Genomic DNA, 21,373 nt, shown 5'->3' on the forward strand with positions numbered 1-21,373 from the left:
GTCTTTGAAATCTTAAGACAGAAAGATGATTTCCTGAAGGTGTTGCAGCTTAACTCCCAAAATGGGTTGTCTAAGGACGTGTTGGTGTTTGCCTCTCTAGATGTCTTTATTTAAAAGGAAAGAGGCTTATCTGGTAGGAATAGGTGAGGTGCAGCCTGACTCCCAGGTCAGGAGCTGCTGGGGGTTCCCCTTCCCTGGGTCTATGGTTATAGTCAAGAGGGCTTCTGTGACCCCAGATTCATCCTCCTTTAATACTACTACTGTGGTTCTAGATTCAGGCCCCAGTAGTACCATAGCCCCAGGTGTTGCTGGAAGGTCTCTGAAATCTCTTGAAGATATTTGCTAGGTCTGGAAGTTAGCAGGGCATCCTTGAACCCCAGGTCTAGAAAGAGCCACACCCACCCCCGGCTGAACCTAGAGCCTGGGCTGAGAATGTCAAGGTACAGGCTCAAAGGTCAAGCTCAGGACCAGGGCTTACCTGGGGCTGCTCTGCCCGCAAGCCCTTGTTCCTCCTGGGTGACCACATCATGACTTTGGGCCAAGGGACTGCAGGCTTTGTGGAGTATAGCCTGAGAGACCAGGGCAGGGAGTCCCCTCCTACATTAAAGCGCCTCAATAGAGCCACTAATGCAACAACTCTAGCTGGCAAGGGCTGCTCCCATGATCCCAGCTGCTTCTCTCTCAATTCCTCCTGACCACAGCAGGGAGGTAACTGGCTTCCAGGATGCTGTCTGCCCCCACCCCACGGCTGAGACAGGCTGGAGGGGAAGAGTGACTCCATGGCTGGTGTCCCAGGATGAGACACTGTGTGTCATACTCTCAGCTGTTCCACTGGGTTTCCTTCATCGTCTCTTTGCCTTTTTTCCTGTGGATCAGTTTGTACTTAATAAGTTTCCTTTTGAAAATTCAACATATCCCAGTTATGCTAAGGAGGAGCTGGTGGCAGGGACAGGGGTGGATAGGGAGCAGTTATTCTTACTTGGTTCAAAATGGAAGGGTTTAAAGTTGAACTGAAACCAAGTACTTGGTGGATGCTTTAGAGGTCAATGTGACTGTCCAGCAAGGAGAAGAGAAATTTAAGATTCATAGATTTGGCCATTTCCTGTCTTCACTCATTCTTCCTGCTCTTAATTTATTTAATGATGTAATTGGTTTTTCTGGGGTTTTTTGTTTGTTTGTTTGAGATGGAGTCTCGCTCTGTTGCCCAGGCTGGAGTGCAGTGGCACAGTCTCACCTCATTGCAACCTCCGCTTCCCGGGTTCAAGGGATTCTCCTGCCTCAGCCTCCTCAGAAGCTGGGATTACAAACTTGCGCTACCACGCCCAGCTAATTTTTGTATTTTTAGTAGAGACAGGGTTTCACCATGTTGGTCACGCTGGTCTCGAACTCCTGACCCTGTGATCCGCCTGCCTCAGCCTCCCAAAGTGCTGGGATTACAGGTGTAAGCCACTGCGCCTGGCCTTTCTGTTCTTTTTTTTAAAACAGGGTGATTTCTTACAAAATTGCAATCTTGGAGTGAAAAGAAAGTTGGGGTCTCTTTTTAAGAGTAGGTCAAGGCTGGGCGCAGTGGCTCATGCCTGTAATTCCAGCACTTTGGGAGGCCAACGTGGGTGGATTGTTTGAGGACAGGAGTTCATGACAAGCCTGAGCAACACGGCAAGACTCCCGTCTCTACAAAAACAATTTTTTAATTATCCAGGCTTAGTGGGCACATGCCCGTAGTCCCAGCTACGTGGGATGTTGAGGTGGAAGAATCGCTTGAGCCCAGGAGTTCAAGGCTGCAGTGAGCTATGATGGCACCACTGCACTCCAGCCTGGGTGATAGAGCAAGGCTCTGTCTCTAAAAAAAAAAAAAGAAAGAAAAGAAAAAAAAAAGAGAAAGAAAGAAAAAAACAGGTAAAAAACAGGTGGTCAAACCCAGCTGCCACAAGCAGGGAACTGCATCCACACAGTGAAGATTCCACAGCTTTTGAATCACCCCAGAAATTCTCAATAGACTCTCAAGGAAAGCCAGATATATTAAGTGGCAAAAGCAAGATATAAAACAGTACTATAGGCTGGGCGCAGTGGCTCACACCTGTGATCCCAGCACTTTGGGAGGCTGAGGTGGGTGGATCCCTTGAGGTCAGGAGTTTGTGACCAGCCTGGCCAATATGGCGAAACCCCATCTCTACTAAAAATACAAAAATTAGCCGGGCGTGGTGGCGTGCACCTGTAGTCTCAGCTACTCAAGAGGCTGAGGCAGGAGAATTGCTTGAATCTGGGAGGCAGAGGTTGCAGTGAACCCAGATGGCACCATTGCACTCCAGCCTGAGTGACAGAGTGAGACTCCATCCACAAAATATATATAAATAAAAAAAACCATGGAAGGGAGTAAAAGAAACTAGCCCAGCATTTACCTGTGGTGAGGGTGGGGGTGGGCATGGAGCAAGTGGAGGGACCTTCTGCAGTATATATGTTACCACAGTGACAGTGTTACCTATTCAAATCCAGATGGACCCCAACTTACAATGGTTCAAGTTAATGATTTCCAACTTTACGATGGGGCAAAAGCAATACACATTCAATGCACTCCTCGATTTATGATCAAACCCATCGTATGTTGAAAATATCATAAATCGACTTTCAATACGATATTTTCAACATATGATGGGTTTATCTAGATGTGACCCCATCCTAAGTTGAGGAGTGTCTGTAATTAAACCAAAAGAAAACAAAAACAAATATATATTAAAGAGAAGCCTCATTTAGCTTAATGAACACAGACTCAGATAGTCATAAGATTTTGCCTCCAGAAGGCTGGGTTTCGTTGTTTTTGTTGTTTTTGAGACGGAGTCTCACTCTGTTGCCCAGGCTGGAGTACAGTGGCACGATCTTGGCTCACTGCAACCTCTGCCTTCCAGGTTCAAGCGATTCTCCTGCCTCAGCCTTCCAAGTAGCTAGGATTATAGGCGTGCACCACCACGCCCAGCTAATTGTTTCGTCCTTTTGGTAGAGACAGGGTTTCACCATGTTGGTCAGGCTGGTCTCCAACTCCTGACATCAGGTGATCCACCTGCCTCGGTCTCCCAAAATGTTGGGATTACAGGCATAAACCACCACACCTGGCAGAAAGCTTGCCTTCTTCACAGCTTGCTCTATGATAAGCTGGGGCCTGAAGGGAACTCCGCTGGGGGAAGAGGGTACCAGGAGGAAAAATCAGCTGACCATCTTCCCTCCCTCCCACCAGACCTACTCGGGCTTGTTCTGCGTGACGGTCAACCCCTACAAGTGGCTGCCCATCTACGGGGCCCGTGTGGCTAACATGTACAAGGGCAAGAAGCGCACAGAGATGCCGCCTCACCTCTTCTCCATCTCTGACAACGCCTACCACGACATGCTTATGGGTGCGTCGGGGTGGGCTCTGCTGGGGCAGGGGTGGCGGGAGACAAGCCTTCCTTTGCCATTGCGGCTCCAGACGCATTAAGACCTTGTGATACCCGATCCTAACCCTGACCCTGCACTACCAGTTGAAGTTCTTTGCTAAATTTTGAGCAGCAGCTGCTGCTACCAGGTGCCAGGGCTCAGTGAGTGTGCTGGGCACTTGCTAGGCACCAGCCCTACCTCACACCCTATCTCATTTAAGTTTCACAAACCCGTGGGATGCCAAGGTAAGTAGGTAAGTAACTTGCTCAGAGCTCAGTACTCTTAACCATTACCTCTATGATCTTTGCTGCATGTTATAGTGATTCCTCTATGTGATTTTTTTCTTTATTTTGAGATAGAGTTTCGCTCTTGTCATCCAAGCTGGAGTGCAATGGTGCAATAGCTCACTGCAACCTCCACCTCCCAGGTTCAGGCAATTCTCCTGCCTCAGCCTCCCAAGTAGCTGGGATTACAGGCATGTGCCACCACACCCAGCTAATTTTTGTATTATTAGTAGAGATGGGGTTTCATCATGTTGGCCAGGCTGGTCCTGAACTCCTGACATCAGGTGATCCACCCATCTCGGCCTCCCAAAGTGCTGGCTTTACAGGCGTGAGCCACTGCGCCCAGTCATGATTTTTTTTTTAAGAGATGGGTTCTTTGTTGCCCAGGCTGGAGTGCAGTGGTGCAATCTTAGCTCACCGCAGTCTAGAACTTCTAGGCCCAAGCAATCCTCCTGCTTCAGCTTCCTGAGTAGCTGAGACTATAGCAATGCGTCACTATGCCCAGCTAATTTCTTAATGTTTTGTGGAGACAGGGTTTCACCATCTTGCCTAGGCAGGTCTTAAACTCCTGGGCTCCAGCCTCAGCTTCCCCAAATGCTGGGATTACAGGCATGAGTCATGCTGTCCAGCCCTCTGTGATTTTTGTCCTCATTTCTCTTTATGTTGCTTAGGACTGGGTAGCTTTATGGCCACTCTGGGCTGGTAGAAAGAGTGGCTGATAAATTCCTGATCCTTTCTGCAAGGGTGTACACTGCAGGGATGGGCACGTGGCCACAGATCCCACAGGATCCTGAATTTTGGCCTCCAAGTGTAGCCAAGGCCACGATCTAAGCCGGGTGGAATTTGGGGAAGCGCTGACTGGCTGGGGCATTGTCGAATGCCTAGTTTCTAAATGTTCCTAATTACACCTTCCTGTTTCTTGTTTTCTTCCCTACAGATCGTGAGAATCAGTCTATGCTAATCACGTAAGTGTCTCTTCCATCTCTGTCTATACACATATAATTAGACCTGTGTCTTACACATACAATTAAGCCTTCTTAGAATTAATTGCGGGACTTTGTTTGGAACTCTGCAGGCAGTGAGTGGGCTTTGGGGCGGGTGAGGCTACACCTGTTAAACTGACAGGGTGGCCTCCCTGTCCCCAGGACCTCCCCACCTGCCTGTCTGTCCTAGCTAGGGGGCAAAATGCGAACAGAAGTGTGTACCTTTGAGGCCAGGTGTGGTGGCTCACACCTGTAATCCCAGGGCTTTGGGAGGCTGAGGCAGGAGGATCGCTGGAACCCAGGAGTTTGAGACCAGCCTGGGCAACATAGTGAGACCCCATCTCTACAAAAAATTAGCCAGGTATGGTGGTGCACACCTGTAGTCCCAGCTACTCAGGAGGCTGAGGCAGGAAGATTGCTTGAGCCCAGGAGGTTGAGGCTGCAGTGAGCTATGATCACACCACTGCACTCCAGCCTGGACGACAGAGCAAGACCCTCTCTCAAAAAAAAAAAAAAAAAAGAAAAGAAAAGTGCTGTTTTTTTTTTTTTTTTTTTTTTTTTGAGATGGAGTCTTGCTCTGCCACCCGGGCTGGAGTGCAGCCTCCACCTCCTGGGTTCAAGCGATTCTGCTGCCTCAGCCTCCTGAGTAGCTGGGATTACAGGCACATGCCACCATGCCTGGCTACTTTTTGTATTTTTAATAGAGACGGGGGCTTCACCATGTTGGCCAGGCTGGTCTCGAACTCCTGACCTCAGGTGATCCGCCCACCTTGGCCTCCCAAAGTGCTAGGATTACAGGCATGAGCCACTGTGCCCGGTTAATTTTTGTATTTTTAGTAGAAACGGGGTCTCACCATGTTGGCCAGGCTAGTCTTGCTCCTTTTCTCTGCAGCTGACCACCCCTCTTCCTGCTTCTCCTGTCCACTTTTTTTCTACCTGCAGCGGAGAATCTGGTGCTGGTAAGACTGAGAACACGAAGAAGGTCATCCAGTACTTTGCCAACATTGGAGGAACTGGCAAACAGACCACAGATAAGAAGGTAGAGCCGACCGGGTGGGCCCATATTTCCCGTCTTCAGGCTTCTGTGACACACACAGTGGTGCCCATTCAATCTTCACAGCTGCTCACAGCTTAGGGCCATTTTACAGATGAAGAGACTGAGGCTTAGAGAGAAGTGACTTGGGTGGGGTCACACAGGGAGAAGGTGGCTATAGATCAAGGTCTCCTCCCCGAGGACTTGTTCTGCTGCCCCAGGCCATGTCTGCCTCCAGAAGGACAGGTAGCAGAGCCCCTTGTTCTTGGCAGAGGAGAAACAGGAAAGTTTGCTGCCTGTTAAGTGGCCTCTGCAGGCCCTGGCTGCCCCAGGGGCACAAAAAGCCTTAGCTGGGCAGCCAGCTAAGGCAGCTCTAAAAGGCTGACAGCGGCCAGGCGCAGTGGCTCATGCCTATAATCCCAGTACTCTGGGAGGCTGAGGTGGGAGGGTCGCTTGAGTCCCTGAGTTCAAGACCAACCTGGGCAACATAGCAAGACACCATCTCTACAAAAAACTTTAAAAATTAGCTGGGAGTGGTGGCATGTGCCTATAGTCCCAGCTACTCAGGGGGCTGAAGTGGGAGGATCACCTGAGCCCAGGAGTTGGAGGCTGCAGTAAGCCGAGATCGTGCCACTGCACTCCAGCCTGGGCAACAGAACAAAACTGTCTCAAAAAAGGGGTGGGGGGATGTGTAGGGAGGGGTTTCAGACTGCTCAGGGGGCTCTCTGCCAACAGCAAAGTGAGGAAACAGTAGCTAGGGATCAAGTCCAAGTGGCTGCCCGTGTCCCCAGGTGCCCCTCCCAGTGTCACGGAGCCACAGAGGGACAGACACTCAGGCAGTGGCCCTCGTCCCAGGTTACTACATGTAGCCCCTCTGGCCCTGATTTTCTGGCCACCCCAAGGCCATTCTCCTCCTGGGTTCCCAGCACATGAGCCACTGTCATTTGCAAGCCCAGTCCCTCAGCCCTGGGCTCCCAGGCAGCAGCCAACTGGTCAACTGACTTTGGGTTTCTTTCTGCATCAGGGGTCTCTGGAGGATCAAGTCATCCAGGCAAACCCTGTGCTGGAGGCCTTTGGGAACGCCAAGACCACCAGGAACAACAACTCCTCTCGCTTCGTAAGTGTGGGGACCACATGAGAGGCCCCCTGGCTGGTGGGACAGGGGTCACGACCCCGCCCCAGGTAAAGAAATGGAGGCTGGTTTAAATTAAGGTGAAAGGGGTGGGACAAGTGAAGACATCCCCTTCCCAGAGATGTTGAAGGCACAGCAATCAGAATCAAATTGGCAACGAGGAAAAACTAATTCAAAAGACAAATAATCCCTCGTGGAATTCAGCTCAAGGTTTGAAGACTCTTCCTAGCCAGTCCAATTGGCCTCAACACCAAGAACTACAAATTGCAAATTTAACAGGTCATTTTGTATCAAAAGATCAATTATGAAGCATCTAGAATTTTTCAATTGTGCGAAAACATTCTCTGGGTTCTGCAGAGACCCAGACAGGGTTAACTTTTTTTTGTTTTGATTTGTTTCCCCCTCAGAAATTGGTTTTCTTTGATGTACCCAAGTGTTACATTTCTCAATAAAGAAAAGAAAATCTCCATTAGCATAAAAGAAGGAGGCTGGGCACAGTGGCACACTCCTGTAATCCCAGCACTTTGGGAAGCCAAGGCAGGAGGATCCCTTGAGCCCAGGAGTTTGAGACCAGCCTCGGCAACAGAGCGAGACCACCCGCCATCTCTATAAAAAATAAAAATTAGCCGGGCATGGCCATGCCTGCCTGTAGTCCCAGCTACTTAGGAGGCTAAGGTGGGAGGATCACCTGAGCCCAGGAAGTCAAGGTTGCAATGAGCTGAGATTATGCCACTGCACTCCAGCCTGGGCAACAGAGTAAGACCCCCTATCTCAGGGGGGATAAAAAGCATCTAATCAGCAAACAGAACCCTCTTTAGTATTAATATTTAAGTCAAGCAGCTTTGATACAGAACCTTGGCAACAGTGATGGTGGAGGGGCTGGGAGGTCACCTGGGGAGACAGATTCACAGCAGCGAGAAGCTGCAACCTCCTTCCAGGCTGGAGGGACATAAGAGAGGTGCTGTCCTAGGGTCCTAGTGGGTTCTTAAACCAGTGCAGCTGTCTGGCGGGAGCTGTAGTCACAGAGGCACCCAGCACCACCTGAGACGCCAACTTGAGAGGAGCAATGCCCTGGCCTCGTCTCCCTCACTCCCGGGTCTCGGGCTTCCCATTGGCAGAGCCCAGTGAGCTTGCACAGAGCCTGGGAAAACAGGGCTGGCGGGGGGTGAGGGGAGGAGCAGAGGTGAGTACAGACAGGCCCAGGAGCAGCCGAGGTAGAGAGAGATAGAGAGTCCTGTTTCCGGAAGAATTTATTGATGGCTGTACCATGCAAGCCAGAGAGAGGAATGACATGGAAGGCTCCCGATAAAGAGGCATGGGAGGTCCTCCAAATTCCCATGGTGCCTGGTCTCTATGCAGAATTCCAAAGGGTAGCAGCCCTCCTGCTGGGACTTCTCTCCCCTACAAATGCCCCAAACCACAGACCCTAGATTTAGCTCTGAGACCTGTCCGTGTGTTTCTCTATCTTCGTGGGAAATCCGATACTCCAATAGAGCCCGGTTACATCCCCGCAGGCCCCGATCAGCAACCCTTGGCCAACTCTGGGCCACTTACTGGTCTAAAGCTGTGGACGACCTCCCTCCTGATCCCTCCCCTCTCTTCCCTGCTCAGGGCAAGTTCATCCGAATCCACTTTGGAACCACAGGGAAACTGGCTGGAGCCGACATAGAGAGCTGTAAGTCAGGCCCTCCTTGGAGGGTTTGTCTGTGCAGCTACATAATCTGTGAGGCCTGGTGCAACATGAAAATGAGGGGCTCTTCTTAAAAAATATTAAGAATTTCAGGCCAGGCGAGGTGGCTTATGCCTGTAATTCTAGCACTTTGGGAGGCCGAGGCGGGAGGGTCGCTTGAGCCTAGGAGTTCAAGACCAGCCTGGGCAACATAATAAGATCCCATCTCTACAAAAAATGTGAAAAATTAGCCTGGCATGGTGGTACATGCCTGTAGTCCCAGCTACTCAGGAGGCTAAGGCAAGAGGATCACTTGAGCCCAGGAGTTAGAGGCTGCAGTGAACAGTCACCACTGGTGACTGTTCTGGGCTTTATGGAGAGGGGATTCCTGCTTTGAACCTGGGAGGCAGAGGTTGCAGTGAGCCGAGATCACTCCATTGCACTCCAGCCTGGGCAACAGAGCAAGACTCCATCTCAAAAAAATAAATAAATAAAAATAAATGAATAAATAAATAATCACACCACTGCACTCCAGCCTGGGTAACGCAGCAAGACCCTGTCTCTAAAAATAATAATAATAATAAAGGAATTTTGAAACAGCAACAGAGGAGCATCAAGCCAAGTGGGAGGTCCTTCTGATTGCAGCCTGTTGGTGCCCAGGAGGCTGGCCCCGTTCCCAGGACTCCCCCCGTGGCAGTCAGGTCCCCGGAGGCTGCGTGTCTGGGAAGAGCGAAGCGTGGGGCTCACCACTGGTGACTGTTCTGGGCTTTATGGAGAGGAGATTCCTGCTTTGTATGGAGCCCTGAACTCCAGGGAAACAGCTGTGTACTCACCAGGATCTTCACTTCTTTTTCAGATCTCTTAGAGAAATCTCGTGTCATCTCACAGCAAGCAGCCGAGAGAAGCTACCACATCTTCTACCAGATTCTCTCAAACAAGAAGCCTGAACTTGTTGGTAAAGACCTTTATGTCTATCCACCTGCCCCTGACCTTGCTTTTCTTCTTTTCCATAAGCAAAGATTTCCCATGTGCAAGGAGTCTCATGTCACTCCTAGGGTTCTGTGATAATGTCTTCAGTTTAAAGTGATGTGAATCGGGCTGGGTGCGGTGGCTCACGCCTGTAACCCCAGGACTTTGGGAGGCAGAGGCAGGTGGATCACCTGAGGTCAGGAGTTCAGGACCAGCCTGGCCAACATGGTGAAACCCCGTCTCTCCAAAATACAAAAAAATTAGCCAGGCATGATGGCAGGTGCCTGTAATCCCAGCTACTCGGGAGGCTGACACAGGAGAATCAGTTGAACCTGGGAGGTGGAGGTTGCAGTGAGCCAAGATCACTCCATTGCACTGCAGCCTGGGCAACAGAACAAGACTCTGTCTGAAGAAAAAAAAAGAAAAGAAAAGAAAATTCATGTGAATGTGTTACAGGGAACTTTCTCAAAGTTCTATTTGCACATCTCATCCTCATAGTAGCCAGATGAGGACCACTGTGGGCCCATTTCACAGATGAAGCTTTGAGTACCTGCAAAATCTGGGATATAAAACTGAGATGTGAGGCTTTAAACCCTTTATGTCTGCCACCTGCTGCCTCTGAGTCTGATACTCGGGCACCAGCACAGGGATCAGCCCAAGACCATGATCAGCTCTGCCAGTGCTTGCATGCAGTCCCAGCAGGCTCTCCTCTTGGTAGACACAGCCCACACCAGGCACACAGCTCAGAAAGTGGAGTACACTCACCCACTCAACTGGATGCCCTTGTGCAGGCACCAACATGCTCAACTGTCCACGGCAGACCTGCCCAGACATAAAGTGGGAGGAGGGATGAAGACTCAGTCTTACACACACACACCTCCTAACCCAGCCAGAAATAAGGGCATTGAGTACCATTCCCCACCCACAGGTGGGCTTTATTTGTTTGGACAAAGTATACTTTTAAATTAACAACATTTTGAAATTGGGAGACTTCACATAAAAATGCAATTTCCAGCCAGGTGCAGTGGCTCATATCTGTAATCCCAGCACTTTGGGAGGCAAAGGCAGGAGGATCGCTTGAGCCCAGGAGTTTGAGACCAGCCTGGGCAATTTAGCAAGACCCTGTCTCTACAAAAACTAAAAAAATGGCTGGGCGCAATGGCTCACACATGTAATCCCAGTACTTTGGGAGGCCGAGGCAGGCAGATCATCTGAAGTCAGGAGTTCGAAACCAGCCTGGCCAACATGGCGAAACCCCATCTCTACTGAAAATACAAAAATTAGCTAGGTGTGGTGGTGGGCACCTGTAATCCCAGCTACTTAGGAGGCTGAGGTGCAAGAATCGCTTGAACCCAGGAGGCAGAGGTTGCAGTGGGCCGAGATTGCGCCACCACACTCCAGCCTGGGTGACAGAGCAAGACTCCGTCTCAAAAAATTTTTTTAAAATAAATAAGTAACAAAAATTAGCCAGGTGTGGTGGTGCCTGTGGTCTCAGCTACTCAGGAGGCTGAGGCAGGCAGATCACTTAAGCCCAGGAGTTCAAGGCTGCAGTGAGCTATGATTGTGCCACCGTACTCCAGCCTGGGTGACAGAGCCAGACCCTGTTGAAAGAAAGAGAGAGAGAGAAAGAGGAAGGAAGGAAAGAAGGAAGGGAGGGAGGGAGGGAGGGAGGAGAGGTTAGAGATGGCAGAGAAGAAAACCACATGTCACCAAGGGTTAACCTGCTTTGCTATTCTTGGCAGAGAGTTTGCTGCTGGTCCCCAACCCTAAGGAATACCACTGGGTGAGCCAAGGCGTCACCACTGTGGACAACATGGATGACAAGGAGGAGCTGCAGATCACAGATGTGAGTGGGCGGGCAGAGCTGGCACAGGACGGGAAGAAGCCTTGGGACTCTGCATGCATGGCCACTAGAACTGGGGTGGCAGTGGGGACAGGAGCCCACTTAGAGCTGCCAGACAGCTGCCCAGATCTTCCCTGGAGATTTCTGGGGTTGCGATCAGCATTTTATTCCAAGCCCATTTTAGCAAGCCAAGTTTCTCTTTGCAGAGTCGAACTAGAATTCCATGGGGACTTCAGGGGCCTTCAACCCCATGCAACTTTTCCTCCTCCCCAGCCCAGCTAGAAGTGACTCTGTCATTCTCCCAGTCCCCAACACACTCTCTGGCTCCTCTTATGACACTAAGCACTCACAACTTCTGTTAGGATTATTTGTGTACTAGGTTCTCTCTCCTCTTGGACAACAGAATCGATTCCTGATTTATCTTTGCCTTCCCCTCACCTAGTACCTGGCATGAAGCCTTAACAATAATAATAGTGCCAGGCACAGTAGCTTACACCTGTAATCCCAGTGCTTTGGAAGGCTGAGGCAGGAGAATTGCTTGAGTCCAGGAGTTTGAGACCAGCCTAGGCAACATACTAAGATCCCGTCTCTGCAAAAAAAAAAAAAAAAAAAAAAAAAATTTAAATTTGAAAATTAGCTGGGTGTGATGGCAAGCACCTGTTATGATAACCAGCTACTCAGAAGGCTAAAGTGGGAGGATCACTTGAGCCCAGGAGTTCTAGGCTACAATCAGCCATGATCATGCCACCGCACTCTAGCCTGGGCAACAAAGTAAGACCCTATCTCAAAAAAAATAAAATAAAATAACTGGCCAGGCATGGTAGCCCACAGCTGTAATCCCAGCACTTTGGGAGGCCAAGGCAGGGGGATCACTTGAGGTCAGGAGTTCAAGACCAGCCTGACCAACATGGTGAAACCCCGTCTGTACTAAAAATACAAAAAATTAGCCAGGCATGGTGGCGCATGCCTGTAATCTCAGCTACTTGGGAGGCTGAGGAAGGAGAATCACTTGAACCCAAGAGGTGGAGGTTGCAGTGAGCGGAGATTGTGCCACTGCATTCCAGACTGGGCGACAGAGGGAGGACTCCATCTATAAATAAATTAATTAATTAAACAAAATTAGCCAGGTGTGGTGGCACGCACCTGTTATCCCAGGTACCTGGGAGGCTAAAGTGGGAGGATCACTTGAGCCCAGGAGTTCTAGATTGCAGTGAGCCATGATCGTGCCACTGCACTCTACCCTGGGCAAAAAAGTAAGACCCTATCTCAAAAAATAATAAAATAACAATACTAATACCTCCCTTTCTTGAGCACTTACTATGTGCCAAGCACTGGACTAAACATTGTCACATCATTCTGATCTATCCTTATCATCATCATTTTGCAGATGACGAAACAGAAGCCAGAGAGGTTACTGTAAATAAATGAAATGACTATATTGCAGAACATCTGATCTGGGCCCCTTGGAGAACTCTCCCTGTTCAGGGGGTGTCCAACTCCAGCGTCCATGCCCTGCCGCAGTGGCCCTTCGGCATGGCCCCAGTGTGGCAGTCCCATGGCCTCCACTATGTGGAATGAGAGGCCAGGAGTCACATGACTTTGTCTCTGTTGCTTTGCAGGAAGCCTTTGACGTACTGGGCTTCAGCGCCGAGGAGAAGATGGCCGTGTATAAGCTGACGGGAGGTATCATGCACTTTGGGAACATGAAGTTCAAGCAGAAGCCCAGAGACGAGCAAGCTGAAGTGGACACCACTGAGGGTGGGTGCTGGGGCTTGGGCTGCTCAGGGACAAGGTGGCCAGTGCAGGGAGTTCCCTGCTTTCCAGGGCTTTGTGACCATTTCAGGGACATGCCAGGTCTATGTGGCTGCAAACCATGCATGTTCAGACATTGATATTTTCAGAAAGGCACAATTGAGTCAAGACATGATTTTGGCTTTTTGTTGTCGTTGTTGTTTTCATTTGTATTTATTTTTTGAGACAGGGTCTTGGTTTGTTGCCTAGGTGGGAGCGCAGTGGTGCAGTCATGCAATCATGGCTCACTGCAGCCTCAACCTTGTAGGCTCAAATGATCCTCCTGCCTCAAACCTTCTCAGTAGCTGGGACTACAGTGCACGCCACCACGCCTGGCTAATTTTTTAATTTTTTGTAGAAACGGGGTCTTGCTATGTTGCCCAGGCTGGTCTCAAACTCCTGGCCTCAAGTGATCCTCCTACCTTAACCTCCCAAAGTGCTGGAATCGCAGGCATAAGCCACTGTGCCCAGCTGCCACCTGACCTTGAGCAAGTGTAGAAACTACATCTTTGTTTTCTCATTGGCAAAATGGGATCTCCTCCACCCTCCCTTTCACCCGCTCCGTGAACCACAATAGATGTTGCCAGGTTTCTCCCAGGCATGGCAACATCTTCCTTGCACTCACCTGCCTTTTTTGTCTCTACTCAGTGGCTGACAAAGTCGCCCATCTCATGGGTCTCAACTCTGGTGAACTGCAGAAAGGCATTACCAGGCCCCGAGTCAAAGTTGGCAATGAGTTTGTGCAAAAAGGCCAGAACATGGAACAGTGCCAAAACTCCATTGGGGCTCTGGGCAAGGCTGTCTATGACAAGATGTTCAAGTGGTTGGTGGCCAGGATTAACAAGACCTTGGACACCAAGATGCAGAGGCAGTTCTTCATTGGAGTGCTGGACATCGCTGGCTTTGAGATCTTTGAGGTGTGCCTGGCCTTGCATTTGGTTTTTGCTTTGGGGTGGCTGTCCTCCTTATATAAGCTACTTTTTTGCTTATATAAGTTATAAAGTTCTCTTGTTTCTCACCTTGGACCTGGGGCAGACCAATCTCGGTTTGCCACTGGATCTCTGACTTTTGGACTCCAGAAATTTCCAGCTTCATTTGTATGGTGCCAAGTCATAAAGAATGGTGTGAACTTTAAGGATGGGATGAGTGGTGTGCTGAAGCCAGCCTGTACTGGCTAACAAGAGCTGATTGTGAAATTTTCAGGAATTTTGTGAGCCAGTTGACATCATGTTGATAGCTTGAAATTAGCCATGGCTTGAATATTTACACCATGGACATTGGCAAACACTATAAATCGGGTTTGGTTTTAAGAAGAGCTGATCAATCAGCTCACCACTAAAAAAAAAAAGCTTGTAAACCCCTTGTATTAGTCCATTTTCAAACTGCTATAAAAAACTACCTGAGACTGGGTAATTTATAAAGAAAAGAGGCTTAATTGACTGACAATTCTGCATGGCTGGGGAGGCCTCAGGAAACTTACGATCATGGTGAAAGGCAAAGGGGAAGCGGGCACATCTTACATGGTGGCAGGAGAAAGAGAGCAAGGGGGGAGGTGCCAAATACTTTTAAACCATCAGATCTCCTGTGAACTCCCTTGCTATCATGAGAACAGCATGAAGGAAATCTGACCCTATGATCCAATGTGGGGATTACAATTGGAGATGAGATTTGGGTGGGGACATACAGCCAAACCATGTCACCCCTTAAACTCCTTCATCTTACAGATGAGGAGAAAAATTACAGAGAAAGAGACAAACTGCCCTCAGGCATACGGGGGTCAGATCCATAGAGCATTTCGAGTGATTTCCATCCCTGGAAAGAAAATGGTTATTTCTTCAATGATTTCTGTTCAGGCTGGGGCCGCATGCAGTGGCTTATGCCTGTAATCCCAGCACTTTGGGAGGCAAAGGTGGGGGGATCACTTGTGCCCAGGAGTTTGAGACTAGCCTGGGCAACAGGGTGAGACCTCATCTTTTTTTATTTTTGTTTATTTATTTTTTTTGAGACAGAGTTTCACACTTTTTCCCCAGGCTGGAGTACAATGGTGCCATCTCAGCCCACTGCAACCTCCGCCTCCAGGGTTCAAGTGATTCTCCTGCCTCAGCCTCCCAAGTAGCTGGGATTACAGGCGTGCGCCACCACGCTTGGCTAATTTTGTATTTTTAGTAGAGATGGGGTTTTACCATGATGACCAGGCTGGAGACCTCATCTCTTTAATATATATGTGTGTGTATATATATATATGTGTGTGTGTGTGTATATATATATTATACATATATACATACATATTATATATACATATATACACGTATATTGTATGTATATATTATATATATGTATGTATGTGTATATATTATATATATATGTATGTATGTGTATATATATATATATATATTTCTGTTTACCATACAGGGCTGAAGTCTGGTTGCCTGGACTTTGGGTCTGAACATCATACTGTGTGGCCCGAGGCATGTGTTAAACCACTTTGTGCCTCTGCCTCTGTAGGGGAGGGAACAGAGAGCTACTTCTCATAGGGTGCTGAATGGCCAGTGTTAGGCACTTAGGGCAGTGCCTGACACTAGTGGGCCCTCTGCAAAGTTTTGCTTTGCTTGTGGTCGCTTCATTCAATCCTGGGAGAGGCTCTCTGTGCCTGTGCTGACGCCCCTCTTTCTGCCCTCCTGCCGCCACAGTTCAACAGCTTTGAGCAGCTATGCATCAACTTCACCAACGAGAAGCTGCAGCAGTTCTTCAACCACCACATGTTCGTGCTGGAGCAGGAGGAGTACAAGAGGGAAGGCATCGAGTGGGTCTTCATCGACTTTGGCCTCGACCTTCAGGCCTGCATCGACCTGCTGGAAAAGGTGACTTGCTTCTCAAAGGAGGGATTGGAGAGAGGCCAGGGCCAAGGGATGTCACTGGCACATGCAGGGAGGTGGCACTTGGCTTCAGGGGAGTCAGTGACACCACCAGTGACCTTCCTTGGTATGACCTCTAGCTCCCTATCTGCAAAATGGGTACTGAAGTGACTGCAATGACTACTGTTTGTTGGGCTATTGCATGCCACCATTCATTGGATCATCACAACCTACTGCATGTGGGGGAGGGGATACTTTTATTACACCCATTTCACAGATGGGAACATTGAGGCACAGAGATGGGAACATTGAGGCACAGAGAAGGGAACTTCCTTGTCCAATGTCCCACAACCTGTGAGTGGCAGAGTCACGCTCTGACCCAGGCAATATAATAGTTTTACCTATAACCACATCCACATGGAAGGTTTTAGCAAATGGTCCCCTTCAAGAATGTGTGTTGTGGCCAGGCATGGTGGTTCACACCTGTAATCCCAGCAATTTGGGAGGCTGAGGTGGGTGGATCACCTGAGGTCAGGAGTTTTGAGACCAGCCTGGCCAACATGGTGAAACCTCATCTCTAATACAAAAATTAGCCAGGTGTGGTGGCGGGCACCTGTAATCCCAGCTACTCAGGAGGCTGAGGGAGGAGAATCACTTGAACATGGAAGGCGGAGGTTGCAGTGAGCCGAGATTGTGCCACTGCACTCCAGCCTGGGCGACAGAGCGAGACTCTGTCTCAAAATAAATAAATTAAATTAAAAAAAAAAAGCAGAGAGCACAGGTGGCATTGACTTCCCCATTTTTCAGAAGGCCAAGCTTGCCAGGGGCCACTGTTTAGGTGGGATTAGCATTTGGGGAGCTATCTGGCCCCTTCAGATCTCAGTCTTCCCTTCTGTTGGACTCGATGATTTCAGCCTCTTTCAAGTCTTAATGGCCATGGTGTTTGATGACAAGGTCATGGAGCACCAGGCACTGTTCCCAGATGTCACTGCACAGAGTCCTGCTTCCTGGATGCCCACGTGGGTGTCTGGTGCATCTCTACACTGGCCCTGGGCTCAGTACCAGTTTGTCCTCTTTTGGGTCCTGCCACCTCCTCTAACATCACCCTGTTCTCTTCCTTCCCAGCCCATGGGCATCTTCTCCATCTTGGAGGAACAGTGCGTCTTCCCCAAAGCCACCGATGCCACGTTCAAGGCAGCCCTGTACGACAACCACCTGGGCAAGTCCAGCAACTTCCTGAAGCCCAAGGGGGGCAAGAGCAAGGGGCCCGAGGTCCACTTCGAGCTGGTTCACTACGCAGGCACCGTGAGTACTGGCCTCAGGGTCCCTCTGTGTTTCAGGTCCCAGCTGGCTGCCATCACTGCCGCTGTTGTAGGTACATGCTGACACACCCCTCCAGAGACGTCCCGCTTCCACTAGTGCACAACCATGGTATAACAGGGTAATCAGCCAATTGAAGTGAGCTCCGCTCACACTTCCTCATCACTTCTCCAAGGGAAATATCCATTAGGGAACAGCCATCAGACCTGTCCAGGCCACACCCTGCCCAGGCCCATCAGACCTGTCTGGGCCCTTGGTTTGACAGCTGAACTTCAGTCTTGGCCAGAAATGACAACATTTGCGAAAAGAACAAAAAAGAACAAACAACAAAAATTCCACGAGCCCATTAATTACTCCCAACTGATAACCTGGCTCTCTGACAGCTCATAGCCACCAAACCAACAAGGTGACATATATAAAGTGGCTTTTTCACTCATGACAAACTTAGTCCTTGGGAAGTGGGGAAATTAAGTGCAGCCAGGACTCAGGTTGCATTTGCATAATTAATAGGGGAGGTGACGTTCATCCTGCCAGCTTATAAGAATGCATTTTGTTTCCTTGGGATTTTATTATCGCTGTAAGTGCCAATGCTCCTGTTACCAATGGAGGTTGCTGAGCCTCTGTGGGTTTGACTGCCATGAAACAGCAGCCTTAAGACAGAGCTGTCAGGAAAGTCATGATGGCATTGGGCATCAGGGCCAAGGCTTTATGATACCATCAACCATAACCATAATGCCAATTGCTTGTAAAATGGATGTGGCCGATACTTGGAGCAAACAGCAGGCTTGGGACCAAATTGCAGCTCTCCATCCCCTCTTCCCACACTGAACTGAGAAGAGTTCCTTATTTATAGCAATGGAATATTCAAAGTCAAGTGGCACCTGTGCATTTCCAAGAAGGCCCTAAAATAAGGCAGAGATGACAAATGTCTTTGTGCTGCACAGGAGATGGCAAACCCAGAAGTTCTGGCATCTCCTCTACTTACCTCACTTCTCTGTGCTCAGTGGAGGGACCTGAAAGACTCCTTCCTCCTTACCCTTGCCATGGGGACCATGTGGCAAGATGGGAAGCAGAAATTAGTGGATGTCCAAATACCTGGATATATGGAGCCCCCAGTGCTGGATGGATGGAGCCCCCTTTCCATCAGCCAATGACCCTACAGTGATGTAAGACAGTGTGCATGCTCCCCTAGCAAGGAGAGACCCTACAGTGTTTCAAGAGGGGCTGCATGCTTCCCAGCAAAGAGATTTCTTCACGTAGCTCGGGATTCTACAGCCACGGTCAGTCACAGACAGCAAACCACTGGGCAGAAGAAGACCCAAGGGTCAGGGAGGGTCAGCGTGGCCAGCAGAGTAAGCTGTGCAAGAGAAGGTCACACAGCCCAGGAGAGAGTAGCAGGGGAGTCTGGGTTTATGTGCAAAGCTCAGAGTTGGCGTATCCTAGATGGGCAAACTGCAAATGCCCAAGAAGGCAGATGATGGAGCCTCCAACTCAGATGGGGCTTCAGGGGCATCCCAGGACACCAGGAGAGTCATGAGGACAAGAACTGGAGCCCCAGGATGTGGGGGTGAAAGTTGGTCCTGGGAGCTGAGAACAGGAGAGAGCTGTAGGAGGGGCTCTAGCTGTGGCACCTGAAAGGGAGAGGCTGAACCTCAAAGTTACCCACTGGCGTTTGCCCTCTCCAGGTGGGATATAACATCACAGGCTGGCTGGAGAAGAACAAAGACCCCCTGAATGAAACAGTGGTGGGCTTGTTCCAGAAATCGAGTGTGGCAATCCTGGCCCTTCTCTTCAAAGAAGAGGAGGCTCCAGGTAGGGCTGACCCCTTGTTGTGTCCAGTATCCCTGTGCTGATGCCCTTTAGTGGCCAAAATGGAAAGAAGAAACCAAAACTCTTTGATTCAACTCTTGTGGAATAAGTGAGTGAGTAAGTGAGTGAACCGATGGATGAATGAATGAATGAAAAGTGGCTTGAGATAGGCCATGGATGATACTGCAAAAGAGGCAAGCAGAGGCAACATGGGAGCTTCCAATGATTGAACTGATTGCTGGGCACATCTTGCCTCTAGGTGGATGGATACTGCTTTGGAAAAGTTGACACCCAGATGTTCTATGTTTCTTTTCTGTTTCCCTCTCTCTTGTCAGAAGCAAATGCCAAGCTCAGTCCTGCCTCTCTTCCAATAGAGGTCATGTGGCTCATAGAGGAATGCTCTGGTGGATGCTGCCCCATAGGGTTGCCAATTAGTGGGGCCAGAAACACCAGTCTCCCTGGTCTCACCACCAAAGTGCACCTTCTCCCATGGTCTATGGGTGCTTCTTCCTCCCCAGAAAATGGGAGCAGTTTGTCACCTTGCATCAGAAATCACAAAAGACTGCACCCTCCCAAGGAGCACAGCAACTCTTTTGAGAATTACGCTGTAGCCAGCCCGTTTGATCACTCCCCGGTAGATCTCATTTTCCTCACATGAGGGTCCCCCTTATCCAGCCCTAAGATAAGCCTTTTTAAATCCAAAGAATGTGTGTGCTTTGCTGCAGAGTGCTTAATGGGGCTGCCTTTCTCCATACTGGGTACTGATGTGAAACGTGCTTGTCCCTTCCTCAGCCGGAAGCAAGAAGCAGAAGAGAGGCTCCTCCTTCATGACAGTCTCCAATTTCTACAGGGTGAGCAGGGGTGCCCCCAACCCTCCCTTTCAATGTTGGGTAGTCTGGCTGCTGCTTCATGGCCAGGGGCAGGATGATTTCATTTTTCTGTCTATGATCGCCTCTTTACCTGGAGGGGTCTGTTTCCTTCTGAAGAGGCCACAGAATCATAGGATCATTGGGCAGAAGAGACCCATTTTTGGATTTAAACCTGGAGAGTAAAGGGATTTGTGCAGCGTGATCACGCGAGATAGCAATGCCCAAGAGCTTGTGTCCTAGAGTTGGCTGGCAGGTCTTGGGCTGGCCACAACTTCCATGAAGTTTGGGCATTACCTTCCAAAGTGCAGTCTACAAGGAGATGTTGCACAAAGGAAGATGTCAACACTTTTCAAGAATCAGGCTGTCCCAAGGCAGAGTGGGTCACCTCATTGGAGATATCCAAGCAGAGGAGGAGGGAGCATCCATTAGGGAAGCTAACAGTGGACAGGGCTTTGCCCACACAGACCCTATGGTTCCTCCTAGTACTGAGATTCTACAACGACCCAGCTCTGAATCTGGAGGGGCCCCACTTCTTGCAAACCACGGCCCCTTGAGCAAGTCATTGGACCTTGAGAGCAGTGCTGCCCAATGGCACTTTCTGCAATGATGAAACGTTCTCTTCTGCACTGCCCAATACGGTAGCCGCTAACCACATGTGGCTGAGTTTTAATTCAGTTTTAAGTGAATAAACTTTAAACAAATACCTCTCCTGCATGTGGGTGTCCTGCAACATCAATGCAAAGTTTCACTCACTTGTTCTTTGTCCTCCAACCCCAGGAGCAGCTGAACAAGCTGATGACCACCCTCCATAGCCGCACCCCATTTTGTCCGCTGTATTATCCCCAATGAGTTTAAGCAATCGGGTATGTTGTGGGGTCACGGCTCCCTGCTGGAAGTCCTGAGGTTCTGTGAAGTTAGTGTTCATTCCAAATTAAGTCCACCTTTCATCACCAAGGCTGATGGGGGCAAAACAAGGCTCTGAGAGAAACCTCAACAATGGGTCATCCAAGAATCATATTCTAGCTGCTTTATAAAGCAGAATGGTGCCCAGCCAGGCAGAAATCAAACTTGGGAGCTTTTGGGCATTGGCCAAATGGTGGGGGACCTGGGGCCTCTGGGACAGTGACAGGAGAAGACTGGGGATGATGGCACAGATGCTCAGTTCAGCCTCCTTGAGTGGCCAGGACTGGCCTGTCCCACCCCAGAGGAGGGACTCTCCATCCTGCACCCTCCCCCTTGGCAGGTGTGATAGACGCCCACCTGATCATGCACCAGCTAGCTTGCAATGGTGTCCTGGAAGGCATCCGTATCTGCAGGAAGGGCTTCCCAAACAGGCTGCAGTACCCGGAGTTCAAACAGAGGTGAGTGATGTCTCCCTGGGTGCAAGGCTCAGATGCCCAGGAGTTGACCA

General features: G+C 49.6%; 1 protein-coding gene across 1 annotated transcript in view, besides 1 other annotated feature; it reads left to right on the forward strand.

Annotated features, from left to right (window-relative positions):
- MYH16 (myosin heavy chain 16) overlaps positions 1 to 21,373 on the forward strand; it is a 72,300-nt gene that overhangs the window by 5,536 nt on the left and 45,391 nt on the right. The window contains exons 3-16 of the transcript NR_002147.3: positions 3,230 to 3,386; positions 4,627 to 4,654; positions 5,615 to 5,711; positions 6,730 to 6,822; positions 9,363 to 9,461; positions 11,218 to 11,321; positions 12,938 to 13,076; positions 13,758 to 14,026; positions 15,800 to 15,970; positions 17,090 to 17,269; positions 18,970 to 19,096; positions 19,886 to 19,944; positions 20,740 to 20,825; positions 21,206 to 21,323. The gene's annotated coding sequence lies outside the window, so the exon portion shown is untranslated. The remainder of the gene's footprint in view (positions 1 to 3,229; positions 3,387 to 4,626; positions 4,655 to 5,614; positions 5,712 to 6,729; positions 6,823 to 9,362; positions 9,462 to 11,217; positions 11,322 to 12,937; positions 13,077 to 13,757; positions 14,027 to 15,799; positions 15,971 to 17,089; positions 17,270 to 18,969; positions 19,097 to 19,885; positions 19,945 to 20,739; positions 20,826 to 21,205; positions 21,324 to 21,373) is intronic.
- Positions 6,224 to 6,725: an enhancer, noted in NCBI's record as "H3K4me1 hESC enhancer chr7:98848211-98848712 (GRCh37/hg19 assembly coordinates)". NCBI's record gives its function as "activates a minimal SCP1, AML or CMV promoter by ChIP-STARR-seq in primed H9 embryonic stem cells {active_cell/tissue: H9 hESC(primed)}" and the evidence as "EXISTENCE:reporter gene assay evidence [ECO:0000049][PMID:30033119]".

This window comes from Homo sapiens, chromosome 7 (genome assembly GCF_000001405.40).
Source record: "Homo sapiens chromosome 7, GRCh38.p14 Primary Assembly".
Lineage (NCBI taxonomy): Eukaryota > Metazoa > Chordata > Mammalia > Primates > Hominidae > Homo > Homo sapiens.